The following is a 23,958-nucleotide window of genomic DNA, read 5'->3' as shown; positions in this document are numbered from 1 at the left end:
AAATAGACACATTTAAAAATAAAGTTGGAGAAGAATCGTTACAAAAAAATATAGAAGACTTCCACAATACTATCAAGGGAGTTGATCTATTTAATATTAGGGATTTCTCCATACAATAATAGTGGAATACACATACTTTAATTTAAGACTCAATAAAGTTAAATAAATTGAAACCATTAAAAAGTCTATTTCCTGATAAGTATAGAATTTAGTTAAAAATCAACAGCAGTAATATTTATGAAATATACCCAAATACTTAGAAACAAATCAGCATACTTCTAAATGAATAGTATTAAAAATAACATGAGAATTAAAAACAAAATTTAAACCCCTCCAAATTGGAAATATGACATATCAAAATTAGCAGGGTGCAATTACAGCCATATTTAGAGAGGAAAAACAGATGCTTGTATTAGAATAAATGATTAGAATCAATGACATGAGTCCACCTTAAGCAATCAAAAATGGAAAAGAAAATTAAAGACAAAGTAAACAGGAGGAAAATAATAATAAAAATAAAACCAGAAATTAATGAAATGGAGAATAGGAAACAAAAAAGAAATAAGTGAAGCCAAAAGCAGATTCACTGACATTAGTATGTGCATAGACCTACATCTAGAATAATCAGGATAAAAAAGACAGTAGAACAAATAACCAGTTATGAGGTTATCAAGATGAGAGAGGGGAGAATACTACAGAAAACATGCAAATTGAAGTATAACAAAGGGATACTATGAATGACAATGCCAGTAAATACCATTTAAAAGAAATGGACAAATTCCTGGAATTGCGTTAATCATCTAAGCTCACTAAAGAAAATTACCTGAATAGCCCTATTTCTATGAAAAATATTATTGAATTTGTACTTAAATGTGAACTTAAGAAAAATTATGACATGGATGGTTTCACTGGCAATTTTTCCAGAAATTTAAGAAATAATAAACATTACATAAAAGTTATATTGGAAAACAGAAGAGGAAGAAATACTTCACTACTCATTCTCTGACACTAGTAATGCCCTGACCCCTAAAAAGTCAAGAACAAGAAAATGATGGAACAATATTTCTCATAACCATGAATATAAAAAATTCTTAACAAATTATTGACACATTGATTCCAGCCATGCATAAAAAGGATAATGCAGTCATGCATTGCCTAACCACAGGGGTATGTTCTACAAAATATGTCCCCAGTCAATTTTGTAGCTCTGTTTACATCATAGAGTGTACTTAACACAAACCAAGATGGTATATAGCCTATTACACACCTAAACTATATGGTATGGCCTATTTCTCCTAGGCTGCAAACTTGTACGGTATGTTACTATACTGAATGTTGGAAGCGACTGTAACATAATAGTAAATATCTGCATATCTAAACATATCAAAACATAGAAAAGGTACAGTAAAAAATATGGTATAAAAGTGTTTTTTGCTAGGCGTGGTGGCTCACACCTGTAATCTTAGCACTTTGGGAGGCGGACGCGGGATAATCACATGGAGTGTGAGACCAGCCTCACCAACATGGTGAAACCCGTCTCTACTAAAAATACAAAAATTAGCCGGGCATGGTGGCACATGCCTGTAGTCCCAGCTACTCAGGAGGCTGAGGCAGGAGAATCAGTTGAACCCAGGAGGCAGAAGTTGCAGTGAGCCGAGATTGCACCACTGCACTCCAGCCTGGGTGACAGAGTGAGACTCCATCTCAAAAAAAAAAAAAAAAAATTAATGCTATACATATATAGGGCATATATATATGTTGTAAATGGAGCTTCCAGGACTAGAAGTTCTTCTGGGTGACTCAGTGAGTAAGTGGTGAGTGACTGTGAAGGCCTGGGACATTACTGTATAGTACTCTAGACTTTATAAACACTGTATACTTAAGCGACACTAAACATTTTCTTTCTTCAATAATAAATTCACCTTAGCTTTTTTTACTTTATATACTCTTAAAAATTTTAAACTTTTGACTCTTTTTTAATAACAGCTCAAAGTACAAACACATTGTATAGCTGTACAAAATATTTTCTTTATTGTTTATTTTATAAGGATATATATTTTTTCTTGTTTAAGTTTTTATCACTAATTTTTTTTTTTTTTAAAGGAAGATACCCCCATTAGCCTCGGCCGACTCAGGGTCAGGATCATCAATATCAATGTCTTCCACCTCCACATCTCATCCCACTACAAGGTCTTTTGGGGGCAATAACAGGCATGGAGCTGGCATCTCCTAGGATAACAATCCTTTCTTCTGGAATATTATCTAAAGAAACTGCCTGAGGCTGTTTTACAGTTAACTTCTCTCTTTTATAAGTAGAAGGAGTACACTCTAAAATAATGATTAAAAGTACGGTATAGTAAATATATAAACCAGTAACATATTTATCAAGTATTATGTAGTGTATAAAATATGTATATGCTTTTATATATTGGTTTGTTTACACTAGTGTAACTACCAACTCATGAGTAATATGTTGAGCTATGATTTTATGATGGCTGCGATGTCAATAGACAATAGGACATTTTCAGCTCCATTATAATCTTATGGAACCACCATCACATATGAGGCGTGTCATTGATAGGTCATTATGCTGGGCATGCCTGTGTATCATGATTAAGTGGGGTTTAAATGGAACATTTTAAAATAAATTAAATTTATGAAATTAATGGGCTAACAATAAAAATCCATATTGTATTCTCAATATAGAAGTACCGTTTGAACGAAAATGAAGGGGGGAACCTTTAGAGTCACTGCTTTTACTCCCTCTTGGATTTACATGTCACTAAGTGCTTTTGATTCTCTTTGTGAACATGTTTTATAATTCCCCTATTATGGTCTTTAATTATCTTATTGATGTTATGAACTAAATTGGGTTTTCCCAACCCTCAAATTCACATGTTGGTGTCCTAACCCCCAGAATGACTGTATTTGAAAATAAGGCCTCCATGGAGGACATTAAGTTTAAATGAGAGTATAAGAGTGAGGCCTTAATCCCATAAAACTGGTGGTTTTTGTTTGGTTGGCTGAAGTTTTAGTAACTGTATTGAGTGGTTCAACCATCACAAGAGATCTCTTATACCCATTCACAGTTAATCTCTATTCTCATATCCAGTCCCAGGCAACCAATTATCTACTTTCGGTTTCTATAAATTATACTCATGTAACAAACCTGCGAATCTAAGATAAAAGTTGAAATTATTAAAAACAAACAAAAAAGGATTGCTGTTTCTGAAAGAGGAGGAAGATAACCAGAACTCTCTCTCTCCATGAGTTTGTACACAGAGGGAAGGCCACCCTGCTGGTATCTTGATCTTAAACATCTAGTGTCCAGAAATATGGGAAAAGAAATTTTTTTTTTTTTTTTTTTTTTTTGAGACAGAGTCTTGCTCTGTTGCCTGGCTGGAGTGTAGTGGCGCGAACTCAGCTCACTGCAACCTCCGTCTCCCGGGTTCAAGCTATTCTCCTGCTTCAGCCTCCAGAGTAGCTGGGACTACAGGCGCGTACCACCATGCATGGGATTTCACCATGTTGGTGGTTGCTTGCGCCTGTAATCCCAGCACTTTGGGAGGCAAAGGCAGGCGGTTCACGAAGTCAAGAGATCAAGGAATTCCTATTGTGTGAACTACCCAGTGGGTGGTATTTGGTTTTGGCAGCCCAAGCTGACTAGTACAACTGACTTCACTTATCTCGCTTGGAAATATTATCTCTATGAAACAGTCTGGACATTTCTCTCGGGATGCTACCCTACATTTCCTGATACTTTCAGGAATTTTTTCTTTTCCACAAACATGACATGTCTATATGTCAGATACAAGGTCAGAATTTCCCTCTAACACAAATTTTACCTTCGTTAACGTTACAACCACACATTCTCATCCTCCCAGTATATATTTTATATCCAGAGACTAGAACAATTATTTAGGTTTTCAATAAATTGTTATTTCATTCTATCCAAAGGATGAAACTAATACCATATGAAGATATGGAGAAGAAAAAATATAAATTTAAATTACTCATTATATTATTCTTTGAATCTGATTTATACTAGTCTATATAATACTATTTCTAATTAAATATAAGAAAACAGTTTTGAAGGAATGTAAAACTTTAAGAAAAAAAAATCTCTGCAGAAAAGAAGTCTCTCTGAAAAACCAAGCCAGCTAACACTTCCCAGCTGCTGGAGGATCTTGGTATTCTGGTGAGAAGTAATTGGTAAGCTGTTATTTGAAAGGGTTGTGCTGCAGACAACTAAACTGACCAAACTAAAAGCATCTAGTCTCACAATTACTATTCTGACTTGATGGTAAGTGTTCTAATATTATCCTAAAGATGGGACTAATGAGGAATCTGCATAACTTAACATCAACATAAATAGGTGGGGAATCTGAAATTACTATCAAACTTGGAATCATTGTGATCAAGTAATCTCAGAAGTAAAGGAGATTTTCTTCTTAAACCTGGTGTCATATTTTTCAAGGACATATGTTCTAACACTGTAACAATCACACACCCAGTTTCCATGTATTTCTGCCTCAGAAATGATGAAGTGCACGTCAGGACGAATTCACAGGATAAAGAAACATGTTCCTTTCTTCCTCTTGAATGCAGGAAGACTTCTAGCCCCTTTACACAGAACAGTTTACATTTTATAGCATTCCTTAATGAATGACTGGAAAATTATTTCAAAACAAGGCTTATTCACCTGTACTTTCCTACCAGCTACTATTCCCACTATTGGTTTGTGGAATCATCAATTACATTAGCTAAGATCGGCATAAGCTTGAAGTTTAAGATGTTTTTCCCACTACATACAAAGTGGAACATGAGTATCTCAAGCTCATGTTTGTTGTTCAATTTCCTGCTCATATTATTTTTGTGCTTTACTTTCTTTATCTGTTAAATAAATGCTGTTCAAATAAGAAAAAAGAAATCTCTGTGGAAATACAAAACCATAGGAAAAAAGATTGTAGAACAGTATTTTTTCATTGGAATGAATGATTCAGTAGCTTTTCTGTGATACAATTAGGTCTGATATGGACTTTTAAGGATCCACATTAGTAAATCAGCAGTCACTGAGACAGACGATGATTATCTGGGGTGGATATGTTAATATTCAAGGTGTAATCCTACTAAAAAATACCAACAGTTTGTCCCAAGAAAATTAGTGTCTGAAAAGAACATCAAAACACACAATATTTGAAGAAACATCTCATTTATTGTTACATCCTATATTAAAATGATAAGCAGTAGAAACAAAGGGTTGAAAGTTGAAGGTAATATCAGTACATGCTCAAGCAAAAAAGAATAAAAGTTAGTTTGGGATTTCAATTGTTGTCCTTCAAAGAACTTTTAAAACAACAACCTAATACTTAGTAGGGACACTTTTGCACTTCTGATGTATATTTTACTAATCTTTTTAAATAATTTTTCACTATATGGTTTATGAAGTGATTCTGTAAATACTTGTAGCTAATGCTTCTGTAGCAACCTGCATTACTAATGCATATTTACAAGATGGTCCAGTTTTAAAGTTCATCGTCTCCAATTTCGTAGTTTGAGACACAATCTAAAAGAATGGAATATTTTAAAAATATTCTTGAACTTAATAAAAATCAAATAGTATTTTAAAATTCTAAAAAAATAAACTATCAAATTATAGATTTAGAATACAGAATTTCATTTGATGAGGTAATTTTTAAAAATTACACATTAAATTCATTGAATTTTAATGCTATAAATCAGTTTTTTCTATAATACAACATTTTGTGTATAATACAAATATACACAATTATATTCTAATAAAATATGATATTGTATACATATGACAGTGGTGTCAATAACACTAGAATATCAATTTCAAGATAAATTGTAATGATAATAAAATGTTTGAATAAGTCACAGGTGCTCCTGGTCCCATTTTTCCAAAAGTCTGCTTTTACAGACAGAATAAGTATAATGGGTACAGCCTTTGACTCAGAATATTAGAGCGGGGTCACACTGTTGATCTCTTTAGCAGTTTAATCTAACCACCGTAAGCCCCAAAGATAGCACCAGGATTTTTTTTTAATGAAACTAAAATGCAATGGTTTGCTTTTTACCAAAATGATTAAGATCCCCAATACTGTTCCATAAGCCTGATAATGGACACAAGCCAGAGGGAGGGGGGTGCATAACCTACCTGAACCAGGAGATGGCGGGTTCTGGAGAGCCTGAGGCCCTGCAGGAAAATGTCATTTCTTCTCCTCTCTCTGCTGTGGCATTAAAAGATTTCTGAGGCATTGAGATTGCTGGCGGCACTGAAGGAGAGATGAATACAGAATAAATAGAGACGAAAACACCTTCACTACCATCATTTAGAGAATTTTTGCTACATTTTAAGCTTTCAAATGTCATCCTTCACATCTCCATTTATATTAATGAAACTGATTTGGTTTCACAGTAAAATAACTTTATCACTGATCTGCGTTCTTTTTTATTTTATTTTTATTATACTTTAAGTTCTAGGGTACATGTGCACAACGTACAGGTTTGTTACATATGTCCAAATGTCCATCAATGATCTGTGTTCTAATGTGCAATAATTATATCAATTCATTGTAAAGCTATTTCACTACTAAATCTGTTAAACAATAAAGTACATATTTTAGCAAACATATATACTTTTAGGAATTATGTCTCAGAAAAAGACAATACCACCCTAACTTACATCAATATGGAGATCTACTTTGAGCATAAGTGGATTTCCTATTTGGCTTCTCATTGGTCTGTGTAATGCCATAAGCAATATATCACTGCTTCAAAACAGGGCTTTCAAATTAGGTGTCAAAACATAATGTTCTTTCTGATTAACTAAACTTAATTTCTTCAAGCAGCTATAGAACATTTTATGAAGAGAAACTGCATAAGCCATACAGAGAATGGAAATAGATTTTCATGAACTGTTCAATTTTAAAATTAAGCATCTCCAATTTCTAACTAATTACATTGCAAAAACTGTATATGCTGCACATTTGGAACATGTTGAAACTGTTACTGAAATGCACTGTTTGCAATAAACAAATCACTAGCATCCACAATAGAAGCTAAATTTCAAAGTAGAGGATAAATTGTGACTCAATGCACACTTTTATAATTTTAAGCTGAATATCATAAAGTAATATTCCTAAAATTAAGTATATTAATATTTTTTACATATACTAAACAATACCAGACAGGCATTTACAAGTGTGATTATACTCAAATATCTCTATAATAGCATTCAGGTCAGCGTTGATGCCACATTACCTCCATTGATGGTAGAGATAAGAACTGGTATGTAACTTAGTAATTAAACACAATAAATCAAGTTTCTGCCCTTATGAATTTAGATACAAGAAACATAATCTGACATGTTGTCTCTAAAGTAACATAATAATTACTAGTATTACAAAAGATAGAACTTTTTCAGATATTAACTCTGAATTTTAAGTACATTGTCATTTGACTATCTGTACCCTGTTTTTCTTCCTCTGTAATTATGGGAAATAACATTTTAAACAAAATGCATGTTTTACCTATCATTATTTATACATTAGTTGCAAGAGCAGTATTACTCTTTTTATTACAGTAAAGGTTTTTCATTCCTTAGAGAATTACAATGAAATGAATTCTTTCATGGATTTGTATTCTGTATGTGTTAAGTAGTCAACGCTTCCTGGAAAGTTTCTATTTTTTCTTTAGCTGGAAGGAACATGGGGATGTATAGTGAAGTAGTTCTATTAACTCCCACTAACATGGACGTGGTGGACTACCTTCAAGTTATAATTCTCCTGACCGGTTGCTTAGGCAACAGAGATACCACTAATTTGACAGACTGATTTACCTTTTATGAATAATGGCATGCAGCAATTTCATATGTTTTCTGAGTCTTCCAAGTCTTTCCTCAACCCTCAGATATTTCTCAGAAGATAAAGATGATACCAACCATGAAATGCCTATTCATGTCACAGCTTGTTTGGTTCAGATTAACCGGCACCCACTAATTCCTTCAAATTTATTTGAGCCAAGGAAAACTAACTCCACTCAAGCACAGCCAGGAAGTATACTCATTTGTAATTCAATTCCAATTCTGTTTTAAATATAAAGCAACAAATAAATGCACACATAGATTTTTCACCTAGCAGAGGACTGCTAATCTTAAGACTCACAACCCTTTTTTTCTCTTTACTTCTTTTTACGTTTTCTTTTTTTGGATTCAGGGGACATATGGACAGGTTTGTTAACTGGGTATATTGCATGATTCTGAGGTTTGGGGTAAAGGTGGTTCTGTCATCCAGATAGTTAGCATGATACCCAATAGGTAGTTTTTCAGACCATCCCACCTCCCTCTTTCCCTTCTCTAGTAGTCCTCAGTGTCTATTGCTGCCATCTTTATGTCCATGGGCATTCAATGTGAGGATATGCAGTATTTGGTTTTCTGTTCCTGTTCCTGTGTGAATTTGCTTAGGATTACGGCCTACAGTTGCATCCATGTTGCAGCAAAGGACATGATTTCATGTTTGTTTGTTTGTTTTTTGCAGTGTAGTAGTCCATGGTGTATAGGTACTGCATTTTATTTATCCAGTCCACCGTTGATGGGTACCAAGGTTGACTCCATGTCCTTGCTATTGTGAATAGCACTGTGATAATCGTACGAGTGCATGTGTCTGTTACAATTTATTTTCCTTTTGGTATTTACCCAGTAATGGGTTTGCTGGCTCAAATGGCAGTTCTGCTTAAGTTCTTTGCAAAATCTCAAAATTACTTTCCACGATGGTTGAACTATTTACATTCTCATCAACAGTGTATAAGCATTCCTTTTTCTCTGAAGTCTTGACGGCACCTGTTATTTTTTGACTTTTTAAATAATATTCATTCTGACTGGTGTGAGATGGTATCTCATTGTGGTTTTGATTTACATTTCTCTGAGGATGAAAGCTGCACACCTATATCCATCTGAACTTTGACAAAGTTAACAAAATGTTGACTCCTTATTCGGTAAGTGGTGCTGGGATAAATGGCGAGCCATATGCAAAAGAATTCAACTGGACCACTATCTTTCATCATACACAAAGATTAACTTAAGATGGATTAAAGGGTTAAATGTAACGCCTCAAACTATAAAAAAGTATATATAAAAAAAACTTAGGACATACACTTCTCGACACTGGCTTTGGCAAAGAATTTATGGCTAAGTCCTCAAAAGCAATTGCAATAAATACAAAAATTGACGAGTGGGACCTAATTAAACTAAACAGCTTTTGCACAGCAAAACCAATTATCAACAGAATGAACAGACAGCCTACAGAATGGGAGAAAATGTTTGCAATCTATGCCTCTGATAAAGGTTGAATATCCGGAATCTATAAGGAACTTAAACAAGTCAACAAGAAAAAAATAATAATCCAATTAAAAATGGGAAAATGACATGAACAGACATTTCTCAAAAGAAAACATAAAAGCAACCAGCAAACATATGAAAAAATGCTCGTTATCACTAATCATCAGAAAAATGATTTTACATTTAGGGCTGTGTGTCCATTAGAAAGTCACAGAAGTGATCTTGGTTCCTGGCCAAGAGAATAGATAGAGCAGATTAACACCAAAGTTATTTGATAGTTCTAACATTCTCTATTTATATTCTCAGTCTGCATGAAAAGCAAATTAGTTTATTTCTTTGGGTCTTCCCATAATTTCATTAACACATCTCTTTCCATTGCATTTTATTATATGAAGTTAGAAAAGTGAAACACCTGGGAAGCCACATTTGCAAAGCTATTTTTATTACTCATGGATAGTAAGAAATTACATGTTTTCAGTTAATTTTAAGAACCTTCCTTTGATAACAAATGAAGTACCCTCATTTTTCAATTTACATCTTTGACAATTTTTCAAATACTTAATTGCTTATATGAGGTAAAGAATGACTAGTATTTTAATATTATATAGCCTCTCAATATACAATAAGACATCTCAATTATGGAGAATGCATTCATCATGATTTTGATCATGAAATTGTTACTTTCATATAGTCATATCAGGCATCAATGAAATCCATCTGTTTTCTTTTTTTAAAAATTTGTATGTTCTGCTCTTCCCTACTGCTGCAAATGCTGTAATATGATCTAACAGCTCTCAATTTTCATTAATATTGCTTCTGGTTAATTGTCATAGTCCTCCATTCTGAATTTATGAGGGTGATCAATTTAAAGTGCTATTTAATGAGAATACTTTTCTGGAACTCAAAATGCATACAAAATTTAAAAATGCAAAGTATAAAATGATGGGCATAAGGAACAATAATTTTATAATTTCGTTTGGAAAAAAAAAGTCTATCTTCCTGATTACTATAAACTAAATACGTACATACAATTCTTTTTAAACAAATGTAGCTGAGTGGTCTTCAATCTTCAGTGTCAACTGATTTGGTATATCCGTCTTGTTACAAAATCTAATCAATAGAGCATTTCTATGCATATTTGACGAATAGCAAATTTTGGGCATTTTCCACATGGTTGTTCCTAATTTGTGAATATAGTAAAGCCGTGACCTAACTGCCATAAGGTACTGAGTACTGACTTCTAAAATCAAACCTATCTGAACAACACAGTAAAGGCTTTATATAGTACCATCAGACTGTAGAAGCGTGAGGATCAAATTTGGCTCATTAAGTTGGTTTAAGAAAAATCAAAAAAAGGTTCCATTGGCATTTACGATTACATTCTTAGTGAAAGTTAATATAAGAGGAATCAGCAGTTTAATCAAATAAGTATTTCCTTCCTTAGACAGCAAGTACAAAAACAATGAAAAATTGTTAACTGATGCTTTGTTGCATTTTCATAATTACGCTTTTCTCCATTTTCTAATTATTTGCCAAAGGAACCTGATTATTATGTTTCTTTTAAATTGGCTTTTTGCGTAGATCATATGTACAAGATCAAAAATAAAAAAAAAATAAGAGGCAACTAAAATTATTGACCTTTTCATTTTCCTGGTTAGTTATTATTGTTTATTTTTTGTTCTTATGGAGTCTCACTCTGTCGGACAGGCTGGAGTGCAGTGGTATGATCTCAGCTCACTGCAACCTCTGCCTCCTGGGTTCAAGTGATTCTCCTGCCTCAGCCTCCTGAGCAGCTGGGACTACAGGCACGCGCCATCATGCCCAGCTAATTTTTGTGTTTTTAGTAGAGATGGGGTTTCACCATGTTGGCCAGGCTGGTCTCAAACTCTTGACCTCGTGATCCACCTGTGTTGGCCTCCCAAAGTGCTGGGATTACAGGCGTGAGCCACTGCACTGGCCTTGGTTAGTTATTTTTATTAATTACAGTTGTTAACTCGTATTCACAGAGGATTGATTCTAGGAACTCCCTCAGATAGTTGTTATACTATATTGTTCTTTATTTGTATGTTTTCATTTTTGTATTGTTAATTTTATTGCTATTTTAAAAAATATTTTCCATCCAAATTGGTTGAAAACACCAGTGTAAGACCACGAATATGAAGAGCTGACTGTGCTTGCATTTTTTTTTGTTTGTTTTTCTTTTTGATACAGGGTCTCCCTCTGTCACCCAAGCTGACATGCAGTGGTGTGATCATAGCCTCTCACTGCAGTCTCCAACTCTTGGGCTCAAGCAGTACTCCTGCCTCAGGAGTGTCTCACAGAGCCTGGCCAGCATATGCATTTATTTATGCAAATATTGATTAATATTTCAATATTTTTTCTTTCTTTTAAAAATACGCCTGCTTCTGTATTCTGTTTCTTTTATCAAGCTGACATTACATGTAAGAGACATATTTATGTCAATATATAAATAAGTCTTCACTCTTACTCAAACTGATCAGTATTCCAAACCCTGTGGATACACTATTGGGCAAGTATAAGTCACCTGGCCAAATATGACCAGATACATATCTATTACAGCATTTGTTTACATAATAAATTCTATATTTAATTAACCATAATTGAAATTCATAGGTAAAGTGGTAAATGAATATTTAATATGTTGATTTAAGAATATAATCAGCTCTTTTGAAATGTCCTCAGTAGACATTATACAATTTTCTATACTAACATTGGATTATTTTTATAATCAGAGAAGTATAAATGAACAAATTAAAAAACATAAAAATAAAAATGTTAATAGATTTTTTAATACAATTTACTAAAGCTAATCCATCACTAGATGTCTACGACATTTTACCACCAATCTAAAGGGCTTATTAAATAAAATCTAAGTGAAAAGTTACAGTTGAAAGGAGGTAAAACATTACTGTGACTTTATTTTTGTCAAAAGAAGTCTTTCCACAGTATGAGATAATAATTAAATAAAAGGCCATAGTTAATATGGAAGATCTCTCAAGTCAATAAATATATAAATAAATAAATTCAAGCTTGAATGTTCCTTTAATTCTTGAAAGTTAATTTCACCACTAAACATGGCAATTTTTATATTCTTTCAGCGTATATTCTACAGTTAACAATATTCTACATGAAAGGCCCTCAGAGTATTTCAAGAAACCTTGAGGTCCCAAACACCTTTCAGAAACTCTCTTGGGTCACCCCTTTTCCAACCATGTATCTGTGTGCAGATGGATTTTCTTTTGAGAAAGTCAGCTATTGGATTGTGCTAATGGAGAAAAAGTTCAATTATCTCCTTATCCAAAAGTCTTTCTCAGGTTCTAAAATATATCAGGAAAGACTGATTGCAGAAACTGATCTGAGAATTCACCTGTTTTATGTCAACCTATACATTAAAGAAAAGTTTTGGGACCACCTGGGGTACAAAATGGACTAGAATACAAGTTGGTAATTCAAGTTTAAAAAGAAGTCAAGGCCTGGTGGCTCGCACCTGTAATCCCAGCGATCTGGGAGGCTGAGGCAGGAGAATCACCTGAGCCCAGGAGATTGAGATGAGCCTGAGAAACATAATGAGAGCCTGTCGCTACAAAAAAATAGAAAAAATTAGCAGGATAGGATGGTGTGTGCCTGTACTCCCAGCTATTTAAGAGGCTGAGATGGGAGGATAGCTTGAGCCTGGGAAGTCGAGGTTGTAGTGACCTGTGATTGTGTCACTGCCTGGTCAACAGAGCAAGACTCTATCTCAAAAAAAATAATTAATTAATTTTAAGAATCATATAAAACTTATAAGAAAAATAATGTATAATAAAAGTCATGATGTATATTTAAAAGTAATCTAAAGGTGTAAGATTTCAGAACGTATTTTTAGAGTTGGTAGTACTCATTTTTGCAAAATTCTGCAGAAAATAATCTGTTGGAAAGTATAAGTAAGTGTGAAGATTTCAGGACTCATCAAGGAAAAACTTATGATGATAGGAGGCATTAACACATAATGAGTTTGACTTAGGTGCTACTCATACAAGTTGCTTGACATTGGAAGTTCCTGATAGCAGGAGGCTGTTTAAAGACACCATGTCCAGTCACCACTCAGAGAGTGGGAGAAGGGGAAGGAAACTCCTGGAAGAGTGAAGAATCTGAGAGGGGGATAATGTGTCCACGTGATGTCACTCAGCAGTACAGCAGCGTCTCTCAGACTCTCTCAGAAGGTAGAAGGGCAGCTGTGGGCTTGGTGTCTTGTATTGCCCTTGGAGTTTGTGTATGGCTAGCAGAAGTTAGGTGCAGTTTTGCAGTTTCCAAAGCAGGCTGATTGTAAATGTTTAAAATAGGCTTATGCAGGGTAATTTAAAACAGTCGGATGTGTAAATTTTTGAATTTGGCACCGGGGGGTTTATGTGCTAATGGTCCAAGGACCAATATACAGGGGCTATATTTGTTTTATTTATATATCAAGAATAAATATGGCCGGGCGCGGTGGCTAACGCCTGTAATCCCAGCACTTTGGGAGGCTGAGGCAGGCAGATCGCCTGAGGTCAGGAGTTTGAGACCAGCCTGGCCAAGAAGGTGAAACCCTGTCTCTACTAAAAGTACAAAAATTAGCTGAGCGTGGTGGTAGGCACCTGTAATGCCAGCAACTTGGGAGGCTGAGGCAGGAGAATCACTTGAACCTGGGAGGCAGAGGTTGTAGGGTTGTAGTGAGCCGAGATCACACCATTGCACTCCAACATGGGCAACAGAGTGAGACTCTGTCTCAAAAAAAAAAAAAAAAAAAAGAATAAAAGATAAAATTGGAAGATGATGGAGATGTTGGAGAAAGGGTCATCTTGGTTTTTAAAACTGGTCATTTTACTGTAACATCTTAATAATACAAAAAATAAATATATGATCTGGTGTTTCAATTTTGGCAAGTTATTATTGCATGTTTTTAAAGTAAGTTAATGGGTGCAGCACACCAACATGGCACATGTAAACATATGTAACAAACCTACACGTTGTGCACATGTACCCTAGAACTTAAAGTATAATAATAAAAAAGTAAATAAAATAACAAATTTTGTAAGAACAGCATTATTTCCACCTTTGATAAACTGCCAGAAAGAAATAATTGGAACTACTTTCATTTTTCTCCCCTATAAATCTTTTACTTTTTATCCCATTAACTAAGAAAAGTATGGCTTTAAATACACAGCTTTCAAAAGGCAGTAAGAATCCTAAAGTGTGGGCTAAATGTTCAAAGTCACACTGAAGTGATCAATTAAATATCAATAAAAAAGTAAGCATCTGAAAATCACTTTGTTAATATATATATTAATTCCTTATTGTTTAAATAAGGCTCTGATCATATATATGTCAACAAGTTTAAAAGTAATCACAGAATTCCAGTTCTGGATTAATTCGAGACATCTTGCAGTGTCCTATCTCCCCACTTAATATGACCAATATATTTGGATAGAATATGTATGTCATCTATTTGAAGACTCTTAAAAGTAAATCGCAGCAGACATATTGCTATTAAGAAATATAACAGAATTTAAAATATCACCAGACAAACTGTGAGATAACAATTTTCTTTTCAGAATTCCATGGCCTGGATTGAAGGCATCACAAAACCCAGAAGTTGTCATCAACACTGCTCTAGAAATGTCCAAGAAAGAGAAGCCTTCCAGTTCAGACTCAGGAAGCAGGAAGGAAATCTGGCAGTGACAATGTCAACAGAGGAAAGCTGCAAACACCCAATTCTCTGAGAGATGACATTCTTCTTCAATCAGATAAACTGTAGTCCTAAGAGCAAAATCTCCCATTGCTTTTATCCTCCTCATTAATCTCATCAGTTGAACCAGAATAAGGCCATAGTTGGGGCAGAGAGAGATAAATAAGATCGCAGCTTTCTGGCCAGGGGACTAAAAAGTGGTGACCTAAGAAATAGGAAAGTATGTCAGAGATCATAGAGTAGGAAGGTCTTAGGAAGGCATCCACAGCAAGTTCTTTAGGAAATCTTGAGCTCTGTCCTGACCTGTGCTTATTGAATCGGATTCTAAACATTGCTAAGATTTTGTGAATTTAACTAAAAGGTAAACCTCCATATGGGTCCTGGAATGGCCATTGGTACACATGCAGGACAGATCTGACAGTCACTGAAAGGTAATGAAAATGGCGTCTGAATATAAAACCAAGAAAGATGGTCAGAATTTGTTGTCTGATCTAAACAAACTGATTGCCTACAAAAACAACAAAAAAAGTGAGCATTTTCCGTAATACTGAAATAAGATCCAGAGTCTGATTATGTAATATTCAAAGTCCTAAAGATAATCTATTGTTTTACCTGTTAAGAACTAGGAAAATCATGTCATTGGAAATGCCAATGGCATGCTGACACATGTTGGATTATCTAAAAGCTATTTTAAAGCAACTGTTTAAAACATGTTCTAAATAATTAGGTGAAATAAATGGAAATATAGAAAGTCTCTCCAAAGACATACGATATATTTTTAAAACCCCAAATAAATATTAGCATTCTACTTATGTTAACAACAACAACAACAACAAAATTCATGGATGTGCTGAATTGATTGACAGAGAGAGTTATCAAACATAAAGAATTACAAATGGAAGTTATCCAATTTTGAAAACAAAAGGAAACATATTAAAGGAAAAAGTGAATAGACTTCAGGAACTTCTTAGACACTACCAAAATGTCATGAAATCCAAGAAGGAAAAGAGAAAGACGACCAGGACAAAATAATGTAGGTATATACGTGTACATATGTGTATGTATCAATGCATCTGACATCTGAAAACTTCTCAAATAGGCCAACAGCATCGAACCCAAGAAAAACCCAAAACAGTTCATGTTGAGGCACATCATAATCAAACTTCTAAAAACCAAAAATATACAAACACCAAAATATGCAATAGTTATAGGAGAAGAATGATTCACATGACTGAATTTTTTGACCAGAAATCATTAAGGCCAAAAGGAAATGAAACAAAATTTATAAAGTTCTGAAAGAACACACCTGTCAAAGCAAGGTCTATGTTCAGCAAAATCCCCTTCAGACATGAAGGTAAAGGAAAACTATTACAATTTCTACCAGCAGACCTGATACAAAAGAATTGCTCAAGGCGCCTTCTAAAAGAGAAAAGAAATTAAATCAAAGGAAACATCAAACTCCAGAAATAAAACGTGAGTTACAAACGGTAAATATCTGAGAAATATGTCACACTATTCACTTTTTAAGTTATTTAAAGTAATTTAATGGTTGAAAGAATAAAACAAATTCTCTGATGGAATTTTCAATGAATGGAGGTATAATACACAGGAAAAGTATGATATAAAGAGAAGATGTAGGGACCTATATGATGCTATACTTTCTACATTCAAATTGAAATGGTAAACATTGATTCTAACTTAAATAGGGACATTGAATTACAACGGCAACACCCCCTCCCCACAAATTGTGAAAACAGATATAGCCAGAAACATTATAGATACAGTAAAATACAATTCTAAATAATGTTCAATAATCAAGAATTTAGAGCAGGGAAAATAGAAGAATGAAAGACAAAAAGAACAGACTAAAATAACATTTTAAATGAATGATGTGTAAATCTGAATGAAGTGTAAATGGCTTAATTTCATGAATAAAAACACAGAAACTGGCATAATGAATAAAATATAACCTAACTATATGCTGTCTATAAGAAATCACTTGAAATGTAATGATAAAACTAGAATAAAATAAAAACAATAGAAAAAATATGCCATTCAAATGCTAATCAAAAGAAAGCTGCAGTGGCTATGTCAATATCAGAAAATGTAGGTTTCAGAACAAATGAAATTAAAAGATGTAAAATAGAATATTACATAATGATAAAAAGGCCAATTAAGCAGGAAAATATGACAATCCTACATGTGCATTCAACTTGAAAAAGTGCTTCAAAATATATAAAGCAAAATCTGACAGACAAAAAAAATTGGAACAAATTCACAATTACTCTTTGGGATAGCCTAATAAACTAGATAAACAAGAGCAAAATAAGCAAAAATTAAGCAGGAGGAAGAAAACAATATAAAATAAAAGGATAATAATGAAATTGAAAACAGAACAAAATAGAGAAAATTTTTTTAAATGAAGTTTATTTGGAATAAGAATACAATGATTAAACCTCCAGCAAGACTCAGGATGAAAAAAGGAGAGATGACACATATTGCCAATATCAGGATTGAAAGAAGAGATATCAGCACAGATTGTACAGCTAATAAAAATATTTAAAAAAATCCAGATAACATTATGCACACAAACTTATCAATGTTGAAAATACGAACCACATCCTTGAAAATCAGAAACCACAAAGTTACTCAAAATAAAATATATAACAAAAACAATCCTATAATTATTAAAGAAATATAAAAAATACATTTATTTAAAGATAAATCAAAAGTCTCCTGAAAGGAAATGTTCAGACTCAGTTTATCTGTTGAATTTAAAAAATATTTAAAGAAGAAACAATAGCATTTCTGTAAAATCTCTTTCAGAAAATATAAGAGGAGGGAATGTTTTTCAACCCATTTTTATGAACACAGCATTATGCTGATAATTTAACATGTCATATATGGTACAAGAAAATAAACCTACATACCAATATTTCATGGAAAATAGGTGCTTTTATTAAAAAATTAGAAAAAAAATCTAGCTGTAAATAGGAAATATATCAACATTAAGTTTTTTTTTCTTTTTCCTGTGAATATAAGGCTGACACAATACTGTTATCAGCAAACAGTTTCTTTAAAGTGTTAGGTTGGATAGATTAATTGAGTATTAATATAATTTAATTATATGACATTAATGAATAGAGCTTCAGAAACCTCTGAACCTAATATTATTAAATAATTGTTCTTTAAACTGTTAGGTGGATAAATTAATTGAAGATAATTAAATTATATTAAGTATATTGAGTATTATTAAATTATATTAACTATATTAAGCATATTAATCAATACTCAATTAATTTATCCAACTTAACAGTTTAAAGAAAAAATCATGTAATAACATGAGTTGATGCTAAAACAAAAAAACAACAAAATTCCTCATCCACTCATGATAAAATCTCTGAGCAAACTATGAATAAAGGAAGACTTCCTTATCATGATGAAAAACACCTGCCAAAAAATTTAGACCTAACATTGATATATAGGTAAAGAAGTGAATACTTTATCTGTAAGACTGGGAGCAAGTAAGGAAATTCGCTGTCAGCTCTCCTATTAAACCTCATGCTGAAAGAACAACACAGCACTCAAGTAAAAATAGATTTAAGACGTACAGTCAGAAAAGAAAGAAATCTTTTCCAATTTGCAGAAATTAGAAATAGATTGTTATATACAATATAAACTCAAGGAACCTTCAAAAATATTGCTAGAACTAATTGTTGAGTGTAACACAGTCAAAGGATTAAAGAAAAACACCCCAAATCAAATCTCATATGCATATTAGCAATAAACATTTGGAAACCAAAATTTTTTTTAAAAAAATGTACAACAGCTCCAAAACTATCACACTTAGGTACCAATCAAGCAAAATTTATGTATGATATCTGAATGTTGAAAACTACAAGGATCTGATAACGGAAACAAAAGAAGACTTTAGTAAATAAGAAGTCATACCATGGGCCGGGCGCAGTGGATCACGCCTGTAATCCCAGAACTTTGGGAGGCTGAGGTGGGTGGATCACGAGGTCAGGAGATCGAGACCCTCCTGGCTAACACGGTGAAACCCCGTCTCCACTAAAAATACAAAAAAATTAGCTGGGCGTGGTGGCGGGTGCCTGTAGTCCCAGCGACTCAGGAGGCTGAGGAAGGAGAATGGCGTGAACCCAGCAGGCAGAGCTTGCAGTGAGCGGAGATTGCATCATTGCACTCCAGCCTGGGCCACAGAGTGAGACTCCGTCTCAAAAAAAAAAAAAAAAAAAAAAATGCCCCATATTTGTAACCATCTTTTGCATAAAGTCATTTTTGTTATTCGTTCATTCATTTAACAAAAGCATATTGATGTCCCAAACACTAGGCCAACAACAACAACAAAAATATATACCATGTTAATATATTTGTAGACTCAAGATAGAAAAAAAGTAAAATTCTTTTAAAACTAATATAAAGCTCCTTTACAATTGTGATTAAAATCCCAGCTTGATATGTTTGTGTAGACAAATTGTTGTGAAACTTTCAATGGAAGGCAAATAAATTATAATTTCTAGAACCTTTTGTAAAAGAACAGTTGGATAAATGATACTACCTGATTTTAAGTGCATTGCCAGTGCACTGTGATATTTTGAAAGAAATATTTCCTGAGAAGTAGGTCTCAACTGTGGGACTTACTATAAAGCTGTTCTAAAGCTGTGCTAATATGGCACTCTGGAAAAGATAAAATTATAATGGCAGGGAAAGAAGTGGTGGTTGTCAGAGTTTAGAGGTTGAAAGAGGAAGTGACTATAAAGGGATTAGAGAGTGATTTGGGGTGAAAGAACAATTCTGTATACTGACTGTAGTAGAGCCAAGATGAATCTATGTATACGTTAAAATTCATAGAATTCTACAATTAAAAAAGTGAATTTTACTGTATGTTAACTTGAAAACAAACATGCAAATATTAAAAATCATATTGATAGTTAAAAAATTGTCATTGTGTTTTGTAACAGTTACAATCAGATTCAATAAGCTGATACTCTGAAACAGCCCATCCTCCTGGAGAAGTCAGTTCCTGATCTAAAGCAGAAAAACATTTTTAATTCTGCCTATTTGAGGGAATCATGACTCTTCTTCAAGGAATGCCTGTTTCTACTTCAGTTCATCAGACTCTTCTCTTTCTTTAAATCATTGCTCTGATCTACCCAAAGTATTCTGAAGATTCCTTCACTTCCTACTGTTTGTCTTTGTTATGAACTTCAGATTGCACTGGTTGTATATTCTTCATGTTCCTGAGACACCTAAAATGTGGGCCATGTTTCAGTTCATAGTGCTACATATTTTGAAAAAACCATTGTGATACCCTGCTGTTAAAAATTCACTGGCAAACCTGAGGGAGAATTAAAGTAATTAATTAATAAAAATAATTTATTATAGAACAAGATGTATGGATAAAGTAGGAAGAAAGTGAAATTCAGACATAGCTATCTGAAATTGCTTTGAGTTTAGTACAGAATGAGAGATTAAAATATTTAGAAGTCAGGTCTTCCTATTACTAGGATACATTTTTCAAAACCTTAGAACACTGAAATTTTGTTTGCTGTACTGAAACATATATCTAAAAATATCAGTTTCCAACCAAGATGCAGAAACGTATACCCAATTTATCTTAGCACCTGAAACAGCTAAAAATGTCAGAAACATTGTATAAAACAACTGTTTTTCAAGACTTTGTGAATCAGTCAATGAAATCATTCAATAGAAATTCCTAAAATATGGGGGGAAATGAGGTGAGTCCTGCTGTGTCTCAGCTTACTGTCTAGAGAGAGTTTCTAGATTGCAGCACAGGAATGAGGATCTCAGTTGGAGTTTAGAGGTCTCTCTGAGTGCGGAGGTAGTGCTAATAGTACAGAGAAGTGGATATTGGCTATAGTTCACAGGCCACAGTGCCAGACAGGACTTAATGGCAAAGTGAGGATTCCCTGAGATTTGCAGTGATTAACCCTGGAGCCTCCAGATGAGTACTGATGAGTGCACCCATGAGAGGAAAGTAACTGAGGCCAGGGAAAGAACTGTGCAAAAGAATTGGAAGGAACAACTTCCAAGCTCAAACAGAGCAAACAAAAGTTCATACTCTCATGAGCCAGAATAAAATCAACTCCTAATGCATGACAGATAAAGAATTCAGAAACATTCTTATCTCATGGGTGGGGCAAAGAAAGTCCAGAGCTATTCTGATCAAACTTAACAAAGCTTAAAGGCACAGACTGAAGGATTAAACTGTTTCCAAGTAGTTCATCTGTATTTCTAGAAAAAAAAGGTCTAAAATATTGAAAAGAACAACAAAACAAAAAAACAGCAGATAAAGAGGTAACATTTATAACATCTAGCATCCATGCTAAAATTATTATGAAAAGAAGCAGGAAATATAAGATATAATGAGGATAAAATATAATTGGCCAAAAACTAACCCAGGAATAACAGATGATAGTACACAATAACATTAAATCAGTTATTATGATGGCATTCCATGCAACCAAAAATCTAGATGAAAGACTGATCATGTTGAAGACTTCACAGAAATTTAACTTATTTTTATTTTCATTTTCAGTTCTGGGGTAGGTATTTTAAAAATCATGTGTCTACATATTAAAAGCTAAAGTGCCTGAGATGAAGCCTTCAGCAGAATGAACAGTGGATTAAACATTGCCAAAGAAAAGATTAGTAAACTAGAACATGTAATAAGAGAGAATATCCAAAAATTAATACAAAAAGGAAAAAAAGGAAAGAAAATGATCAAAAATGAAAGATAAGATTATTTTCTGAAAATTATCCGGAAAATGAAAGATAAGATCAAGATCAGTTGGAACATTCAAGTAGCCTATATATGTGAAATTGGAGTCCCAAAGGAATGTGGGACAGAGAACAATATGTGAACATCTAATGACTAAAACTTTTCTAAATTTGTTAAAAATGATCAATCAAGGTCATCACCAAAACCTGGGTACAAGTATGATGAAGAAAGCTTCACCAAGGTATAATGTATCCACACTGCTTAAGAAAAGCGATAAAGCAAAAATCTCTAAGAATCTGGGGGTGACTGGTTGGATGGGATACTTTATGTACAGAGGAACAAAATGTCAGAGGAGTTTGTATCTAAAAAAACTCAGGCAAACATAATGATTCATAATGTTTATAGTACTGAAAAAATAAAATCTGTTCATTTAGAATTCTATATCCAGCAAAAATGTATTTTATATATAAAAGTAAAAAAAGGTTTTCTCAGACATACAGTAGGTGAACTGAATCATTAACAACAGAAGTGCACTACAAGAAATGCTAAAGGAAGTCATTCAAGCATCTGGGAACTTATACCAGATAGAAATCTGGATTTACACAAAGTATTGAAAAGCCTTGTGAATAGTAACTATGTAGATAAATATAAAATACTTTTTTCTAATAACTTTAACATTAATTTTAATGTAATAATTTATGAATATGAGCTAATTGGAAGTTTGAATCTATACATAGTGTGTGTACGTGTGTGTGTGTGTGTATGTGTGTATGCATAGCACAGTTGTTGGGGGAAGAATAATGTCTCTTCCCAAAGATGTCAATGCCCTAACACCTGGCCATCTATGAACACATTAAATATCATGATTTAAAAAGACTTTGCAGGTGTTTTTTAAAGTTACAGACATTAAGTGAGGAAATTATCATGAATTATCTAGGCGAGACCAATCACATGATCCCCTTTTCATCTGATATTAAAAGCAGAGATTTCTCTTCAGCTGTAAGAAGAAGAGGAAGGCAGAAGAGATGCAGCAGAAGAGAGATGTGTCAGAAATATTCCAAGTATGGGTTGGATTTAACATACTGCTGCTACAGAGCTTTAGAGATTCCCATTCAAGGTTCAGAAGGGAATTGCTCAAAGGTAAAGGCACCCTCCTGCAGGTGACTTCAAGCAAGCCAACAGGACCTCAGTCCAACAGAAGAAAGAGGCTGGATTCTGCCAAAAACCTGAATGACATTAGGAAGGATTCTGCCTCAGAGCCTCCAGAAAAGATCATAGTCTTGCTGACCCCTGGATCGTGATCTTATAATATACTGAGCAGATCCCAGCAGAGCCTATGTGGACTTCTGACCTAATTATTAATTTCTGCTGTTTTGAGCCACAAAATTTGTTGTAATTTGTTGGAGCAGAAATAGAAAACTATTATGAGTTTTATGATTAATGTAAAAATATCTGATAAACTTAGCACAAAGGCTGGAGGGGGTATTTTTTACATTATATGTGAAGTAGTGCAACAGCATTTGAAAAAAGACTGAAAACCACGTACTAAAATAAGAACGAGTTATAGTTAACAAGACAAAATAGGAAATTAATTGATTCATTAAAATATTCAAAAATGAAGAAACAGAAGAAAAATAAAACTATGAACAGATATCAGACAATACATAGCAAGATGTAATAGGCTTAAACCCAATTACATCAGTAATATATTCAATGTGTGGCACTCTAATTCAAAGGTAGAGACTGTCAGAATGGATTAAAAAACCACAACTGTACACATCCTACAAAAACCCACTTTAAGTATAGGTAAATGCTTATTTGCAACCACATGGATAGAACTGCAGATCATTACGTTAAGTGAAATAAGCCAGGCACAGAAGAGCAAACATTGCATACTCTCACTTATTTGTAGGATCTAAACATCAAAGCAATTGAATTCAGGGAACAGAGAGTACAAGGATAATTAACAGGGGCTGGGAATTGTAGTAGGGGGTTGGGGGAGGAGGTGGGGATGGTAAATGGGTACAAAAATAGAAAGAATCAATAAGACTTACTATTTGATACCATAACAGGGTGACTATAGTCAATAACAATGCAATTGCACATTTTAAA

At 33.6% G+C, this 23,958-nt stretch overlaps 1 protein-coding gene across 17 annotated transcripts in view; it reads right to left on the bottom strand.

Moving 5' to 3' along the window:
- NCAM2 (neural cell adhesion molecule 2) overlaps positions 1-23,958 on the bottom strand; it is a 544,921-nt gene that overhangs the window by 212,651 nt on the left and 308,312 nt on the right. For all 17 annotated transcript variants that reach the window (NM_001352592.2, NM_001352591.2, NM_004540.5 and 14 more), the window contains one exon: positions 6,179-6,296. In NM_001352592.2, coding sequence (NP_001339521.1) covers positions 6,179-6,296 — 118 coding nt within the window. The remainder of the gene's footprint in view (positions 1-6,178; positions 6,297-23,958) is intronic.

Source organism: Homo sapiens, chromosome 21 (genome assembly GCF_000001405.40).
Source record: "Homo sapiens chromosome 21, GRCh38.p14 Primary Assembly".
Taxonomy (NCBI): Eukaryota; Metazoa; Chordata; class Mammalia; order Primates; family Hominidae; genus Homo; species Homo sapiens.
The sequence above is the reverse complement of the archived record's forward strand: the minus strand, read 5'-3'. Positions and strand labels throughout refer to the sequence as shown.